The 7,835-nt window shown below is 39.1% G+C and overlaps 1 protein-coding gene across 1 annotated transcript; it reads left to right on the forward strand.

Annotated features, from left to right (window-relative positions):
- Positions 1–5,476: 5,476 nt before the first annotated feature.
- Positions 5,477–6,589, forward strand: SPANXB1 (SPANX family member B1). Its single transcript, NM_032461.4, has 2 exons — positions 5,477–5,666; positions 6,314–6,589. Exons 1-2 carry the CDS (start codon positions 5,577–5,579, stop codon positions 6,533–6,535), a joined length of 312 nt encoding a protein of 103 aa, NP_115850.2. The 5' UTR covers positions 5,477–5,576; the 3' UTR covers positions 6,536–6,589.
- Positions 6,590–7,835: the final 1,246 nt, after the last annotated feature.

The following is a 7,835-nucleotide window of genomic DNA, read 5'->3' on the forward strand; positions in this document are numbered from 1 at the left end:
CCCCATGCTGCAGTTTCATAGCTAAGGTTCTGCCTTCTTTTTTTTCCACAACAGCCTGGGTTTGCTTCCTAAATCAAGCCATTTCTGGTTTGATACTTGTTTCTTTTGAAACATCAGCAATTTTTCCTAGCTAAAATATGGTAATGAGATTCAGAAAGATTTTTTTAAAGGAGCTCAAGGGTTAAAAGTCAGCTTAATTAAAAGCTCACATCTGAGATGTGTGTGTGTGTGCATGTGTGCATTTGTATTAAAAGGCCTTTATTTTTTCCTCTGTTAGAAACAGATAATCGGTGTCGTGAAGAAAAGACAAAGGATCTCTCAGCAAGGCAATCTTTACTTTCTGCAGAAAGGGTGCCCCTCGCAGATCGAACAATCGTGACAGCACACTTGAACAAAGGAAAAGCAGACATATTTATCATTTACGTATTTGGGTCAGCCTTACTGCTCTGTCCTGCATCCATTGGCTGGAGCTGGACCCCACAGTCTTCAACTGATACCAAATCTGCTAATAACCTAAAACTTTCCTAAACAGGTAAGTGCAAGGGAGAACAAAGAAGAAAAAGAAGTTGCTTACTAAAGGTTTAAGGAAGCAATTAACATTTCAAAAAAGGAAGGGGCATAAGCTATGAGCTAAGACTTGCCTGGGCCTGTCCAGACATGCCTGAGTAAGCCAAAGCAACTAACTGGGCTCAAGTGTAAGAACTAGTAGTTGAGAGGAGGCTTTAGAGTAAGGAGCTATTATTTATAGTGTCTATTATTTTATTTTTAAACCAAGATGAATTTTGAAGAAAAACTTTACTACTTTCTACATCTTCTCTCCTAGGACCTTGTCTTTTTTTGAGCAAAAGTTTTTTTTTCTTCTCAGACGATGACATTCTGTTTTCTTCATCTACTTCTGCTGTCTCTCCTTTATTTTGCTACCCTCTGTTGCATGAGGGACGTAAAATAGTTTATAATTGCCTGCATTCCTTAAAGAAAATGGAGAAGATGCCACACTCCCTTTTGGGGAGAAACCTCTATTTTTCCCAAGAGTGTAAACACACAAGTTCATCTCAGATCTTAAGCTGCTTGCTTTTGTATTGTGTTACTTGATTTTTTGACTAAAACTGTTATTAGTTTATTCTTGGATTTTTAAGGAAGAAAGTAGCTTGAACACTTAGAAATGTCTTTGTTAAAAAAAAAAAAAAGGACACTGTAAAAGCATCACTTGGTGTAGCCTCATAGTAATTCTCCCTTTTTGGAGAACTAGGATTCAGTGTGGGCTCTGCCCAGAGCTCAGAGATCCAGTTAAAAGACAGGTAGTCCCTATCTAAATACAACTGGTCTCCTTATACAATCCTATAATATATTTCTACAATTTTGTGTTTGATTTGGCATCCATCTTCAATCTCCTTCTAACATCACCAGACTCTTTCTCTCTGTGCTTTGAGAAGCAAATTTCACTATCTGATTTTTTTTACCTAAGGGTTCCTTTAATATGCACATTTAGGGCTATCTAGCTGACAATTGCCTAGGGCAATAAAATAGGTTATGAAGAAATTGTAAATCTAAAATACAAGGAAAAAATAAAGGCCTTAGGAATTTATAAGATCTACTTCTATCTACATGTCTAATACATCTATGTATTTATGTGTCATGGATATGACATTTCACTACTAAAAATGTAGAAAAGAGCTCTAATTAATTGGCTTAACAAAGGCACTTAAATCTAATGCTTTTCAGAAAAATAGACTTTAAGCCAAATGCTTTTTCAAGTTCATGTGACTTAAGCAAATCTTCAATAAACAAGCTGGTTTTAAAAATTTTAGTGAAATTGAATTAGAAATGGCTTTGGAATTCTCAACATACATTATTTATCTCTGCTAGATGTCAACATTTGGCATAAGGGTTCTAAAGCTATGAATGCAGCTCAAATAAGAATTATCTTTGTTTATGTAAAATTTAGTAAGTAAGGAATTTAATATTGTTTGGTTAATGAAAATAGCTAAATCCTGAGTTATTGCCAAAAAAACAAAAACAAACAAACAAATAAACAAAAAAAGACCCTTTATCTAACCTTAATGTTCTTACTCAGGACAACCTGAAATTCACAGGTTATAAAAATGGTTAACAAGGACATAACTTTAAATGGTAACTATTACAGTTTTCATAAGTAATCTGGGTAAACTATTAGAAAATTAATTAATTACACAAATGTAACAGAATAAGTTCTTGTAGAATATCTTGTCATATAATTTAAAATCCAAAGTTATATTAAGCTAAATAGTAGATATTTATTACACGTCTGGGTCATTTCCAATTTTTTTAATTATAGGAAAACATTTTTCTGTAAAAAAGAAATGTGATCTTAAAGGAAAATACTTTTTGTCTAATTCGAAGCTTATCTAAAAGTTATTTATGAAATTAGGTAATCAGTGAATAAAAACAATGTGAAGGAAGTTATGAACAGGCATTTTTGGCACAAAAAGTTAAAAGGAAAATAATTTTATCTGAGCAAGAATCTTGTATGGTAAATTTTTGTTCTAAAATAAAATAACTGGTTATTTAAGAAAAAGGAAGCCTAGGCATGGTGGCTCATGCTTGTTAATTCCAGCATTTTGGGAGGCCGAGGTGGATGGATCACCTGAGGTCAGGAGGTCGAGACCAGCCTGGCCAACGTGGCAAATCCCTGTCTCTACTAAAAATACAAAAATTAGCCAGGTGTGGTGGCACGTGCCTGTAGTCCCAGCTACTCCGGAGGCTGAGGCAGGAGAATTGCTTGTACATGGGAGGCAGAGGTTGCAGGGAGCCGAGATGGCGCCACTGCACGACTCTAGCCTGGGCGACGGAGGAAGACTGTATCTCAAAGGAATAAAGAAAGAGGAAGGGATAAAACAGAAAGTCCAAGCTGTCATAAATGATTTGTATAAAGTTGTCTATAATTAAAGGGAAATTATTTATAATAGTCTTTCCAGATTTAGCTTATGATATTAAAAAAAACACTAAAAAAATTCATCAGAACAATAAAATTTTCTTAAGGAGTTGATTTACTCTTAATAAATTAAAAGATTTTAATTCTTTAAACCCAAAGTTTAACTTTTATCACATCTCACCATTTTCGGTTTACTCTCCTCTTTTAAAAGGTGAAAATAATAACTCTCTCTTTCAACTCATTTTCAGCTCATATAAGTTTCTTCTTTTTTTCTCTTGTGTTCTGTTTGTTGTGGCCTCATGCTAAAAATGTTTTTTTTTCTATTTCTTTTTTCTTTTCTTGAGGTGGGGTCTCACTCTGTCAGCCAGGCTGAGAGTGCAGTGGCACAATCTTGGCTCACTGCAACCTCCCCCTTCCAGGTTCAAGCAATTCTCCTGCCACCACGCCCGGCTAATTTTTGTATTTGTAGTAGAGACAGGGTTTCACCGTGTTGGCCAGGCTGGTCTCGAACTTCTGACCTCAAGTGATCCACCTGCTTCAGCCTCCCAAAGTGCTAGGATTACAGGCATGAGCCACTATGACAGGCCAAAAATTTTTTCTTCAAGGTCTAAAAAAGTGTTTTCTTCCATCTGTGTAACTTTCTGTATGTGCTTTTAAAGTCCTTGTGCCATTGAGTTATAGGGCTTTGACTTCTGGGTCTAAAAAGGACACCAAGTTCTGCTATATCTTAAACACTGACAGCAATTACAGCCTCATTTTCAGGCCCAGTAGAAGATGCTAATCAAAGTAAACTGCGTTCATGAGATGCAGGGCCAGAAATTAAAACTATTCAACTCCTCAAGGCCCAAGGACTATCGTGGAAGAGGTGGGCATGTGAGATTGTAAGGGCTGATATTAAGAGAAAAGTAGCTCAGTTTCTCTAGGAATTAACCATTAATATCAAAGGCACACTAAAGCAAAACCAGTATCTAGGTTGCTGTGTCAGTTTAACAAGGCTTTCTTGGAGCATTAACTCACTCCTTCATGCAAAATGATGAAGGTTACAAGGTTTATAGAAATTATATTTTATACTCAAGATGATTAAACTTTTATTATACAATTTCAAAAAAACAAACTTAATTTGCCGCATCCTGTTTTTAATTAGGGCTTATTGTTTGGGATATTAAGCCTCCTCTCTCAAAGAATAAAGATTTTCACCTTTTTTTTTTTTTGAAACATTTGAGTTACTGCTTTGGTTAAATGAATGACTTATTTTACAATGACCCATGACCCTATTTCGTGATATCAAGCATTTTAAACTTTTTATCTTTGACGAACTTTCCAAAGTCAAATTCTAACTTCATTCCTCATTAATTTTTTGATATGAGTCCTCTGAAGTCCAAAAGAGACATATTGGTCTTATTTGGTATAAAAATCATACAAGAAGCATCATCAAATATAAAATGGTGTTTGACTTTCTTTGGGCTGTATTTATAGAAATGTCATTGATATGTGCTCCAAAATTATGGGAAACTCTTATACTTCTGAAATAACTTGTGTATGTTATTAATTATAACTTTTATGTTAAATTCTTGTATGCTACAGAAGTAACCAAAATTTACTTGTCAATGGTGGTTTTAATAATGGCCGTCCTGGCTGGGTGTGGTGGCTCACGCCTGTAATCCCAGCACTTTGGAGGCCAAGGCAGGTGGATCACGAGGTCAGGAGTTCAAGACCAGCTTGGCCAAGATGGTGAGACCCCGTCTCTCCTAAAAATACAAAAATTAGCCGGGCGTGGTGGCACAGGCCTGTAATCCCAGCTACTCAGGAGGCTGAGCCAGAGAATCACTTAAACCCAGGAGGCAGAGGTTGCAGTGAGCTGAGATCATGCCACTGCACTCCAGCCTGGGCAACAACAGTGAAACTCCATTTGAAAAAAAGAAAAAAATATACACCCCTGATTTGAAACAAGACTAGGATACACGGTAAAGAATGTTTATTCACTAAAGTTTTGACAGACTGAAGGCCATTATTTCAGATTGGAGATAGGAAACTTAAAAGAACTACATGGACATTGGGTAAAAGAACATGGGTTGAAATTTGCCTGGCAGTAGCCCAAAAGTAAATGGTCTTCGAGGTGCATGTGAAGGAACTGTAGGAGGGAAATGGGATAATTCACATCTCCGCCAATAAATAAATGTAGCCACACTAGCGTGGGGGATTTGAGGTGAGACATCGAAAATACTAAGTCATGGTGAGGGCTGGAAGACAAAAGAATGAATCACTTAATAGGAATGGCTGTGGGGAAGGGCTTGAAGGAATCATCCTCTGACTTCCATGTGAACCGTGAACATTAAACATGGAGAAATGAGGAGCGGCGGCAGATCGGTTTGGGATGCATCTTCAGGGGATGCTGAAACAACAACAGCATTTGGTTTGCTCTACACCCCTGTCACCCCTCGCCCGCAAGCCCAGGGAGTGGTCAGCAGTGGGGCTTTGTGACGTCGAAGCCACCCTAGGGCTGCCATTGGCTGGGACACTGCCTGTATGATCAAACAAAGCTCAAGGGTGTGGCTTTGCCTTGTCACCAGGAGGGTATGCATAGGGAGGGCAAGAGCTCTGGGCCACTGCGAAGATTCAAAAGCTCCAAAAACCTACTGTAGACATCGAAGAACCAATATATACAATGGGCCAACAATCCAGTGTCCGCAGGCTGAAGAGGAGCGTCCCCTGTGAATCCAACGAGGCCAACGAGGCCAATGAGGCCAACAAGACGGTAAGATTGTTAGGTTCTGAAGTGAAGGCGAGGGTGAAAGAAAGACACACAGAGCGGGGGCGGCTCAAACAACAACACAGGAATATTGCAGACCATTGTGGAAGTGGGGGGCCCGCTTAATGCCAGAGCCCACCGCCGCTTACAACCTGGGGTGCTTGTAGGTAGGGGTGGGAGGGGCCTGGGCAGTATGGCTTGCTGCCCGGCAGGATATTGATAAGATGTTCTTATGATCAGGTGGTTTGGCCCTTTTTCTGGTGGAATATCATTGTGGTGTTCCTTAGAACGCTGCCAAGCAAGATATGATAGGGATGTTTCTTCAGTTGGGCCTTTGTCCGCCTTGCGGACAGGTGGTTAGGCAGGATGTTTCTCACGGCCTGAACCCCCATGGGATGTTTCACTTTGACCAAGGTCTGCAAAATAGCAAAGAACTGACAAAATGGTGCAGTTTGGACTCACAGGTGACCCTACCCACGCTCCTCTTCTTCTTCCCCATAGATCCCTACTCTGTGCTTCAACCTTCTTCTTCTCTGGATCAAACCCCTTCCTCAACCTGCATTCCTTCTTCTCATGAAGCCCCCTTGCTATCCAGTCTCTATCCTGTTCACCCAAAATAATGTCCTCCTGGCCTCTCCCTGTTTTCTTAACAGATGCCGGAGACCCCAACTGGGGACTCAGACCCGCAACCTGCTCCTAAAAAAATGAAAACATCTGAGTCCTCGACCATACTAGTGGTTCGCTACAGGAGGAACGTGAAAAGAACATCTCCAGAGGAACTGCTGAATGACCACGCCCGAGAGAACAGAATCAACCCCGACCAAATGGAGGAGGAGGAATTCATAGAAATAACGACTGAAAGACCTAAAAAGTAGCAAGAAGCTACATCCCTCAAACTTCGGCAATGAAAATAAAGTTTGAGAAGCTGATGGCTGTGTATATCTCTGCCTGTTTTCTGATGGTGGGGGGTGAAGGGAAGGGAAGAGGTAGGCATTTGAGAAGGGAGGGATATGAGGTCCTGTAGGGTTGGTGGACAGACCCACAGGTTGACAGTAAGCCAGACATTGTAAATAAGGCCTGGGGGAGGACTGATTCCTAAAGAAAATTTTCTTCTTAAAATTTTATCTCACAGGAAGTGGAGATGTGTATATGTTCACGCAACTGTACCCGGCAGCACATAGTTCTGCTGAATGGACATATCAAAGGTATTCCCATCCCCTTTCCATTTGATATTTTCCTAGGTTAGAAATATATGCTTTATAAAGCGTAAATGTTCTGTAAAACACAAAGCACAATACAAAAGAAGATAGTAGATGTAGGAGTAAGTAAACGGCAGGAAAGCATTGCATGTAATGAAATGATTGAAAAGCCAAATTTTAAAACAAAATGTACACTGCATCTTAAATATTTATGTTACTGTTTTAATAACCTCAGCAGTGTTTAATCAAGATAAGCATGCTTTAGAAATGTGTTGATATCCGCAAGTGTGAATAGTCAAAATCGCCACGACTTGGGAAAAGGAAAGTAAAACACTCTTAAGTATGAGGAGCTTTTTTCCATGGAATGTGAACTGCAAGGTGGTGAGAAGGGTTAGGTGTGATGTGGTGAGATCATTTTTAGGAGAGTGTGTCTATTATCGGCTTCCTAACACTTCCATTTTGCATGATAATTTCCTGAAATTCATCATTTAATTAAGGCTATAGATTTTGATTACCATGTGTCTTAAAATGTCAAACAGTATAATATTTATACTGAAAAAGAAAACTGCTTGGTGGATACACATCGGTTAGCGGGAAAAGACACCACAGGGATTCACCATGGAGTCACCCGTGGATGGGGTTTTAGTTTCTGTCTTTGAATTGACCTTCACATAGTGTCTACCTCTTGAGAGTTCAGGGGATGTTGGAGAGATCATTAGGTAAAACAAGAAGGTCTTCTCAGGATACATGAGGGAGTTAAATAAAAATGCAGGAGCAATTACAATTTCAGTTATTTGTAACTGTTCCTTGCTGTCATAACACTGTCATGGATAACATGAAAAAATAAAATATACTAAATATCAATAGACAAAAACCAGTTTGCTTTTCTCCAACCAAATACCTAAATACCTAGCACTGATTTCCAGAACAAAATCCCCCACGTACCATCTTTGGAATAAAAGAATATTCTTTCAAG

The sequence above is a fragment of the Homo sapiens genome, chromosome X (assembly GCF_000001405.40).
Source record: "Homo sapiens chromosome X, GRCh38.p14 Primary Assembly".
NCBI classification, from domain to species: Eukaryota; Metazoa; Chordata; class Mammalia; order Primates; family Hominidae; genus Homo; species Homo sapiens.

Excerpts from the sequence above, each read along its gene's own strand:
- SPANXB1 (NM_032461.4), top strand. The coding sequence starts at position 5,577 with ATGGGCCAACAATCCAGTGTCCGCAGGCTGAAGAGGAGCGTCCCCTGT. Across the intron at positions 5,667-6,313 it reads CCAATGAGGCCAACAAGACG|ATGCCGGAGACCCCAACTGG; the intron begins GTAAGATTGTTA and ends TTTTCTTAACAG.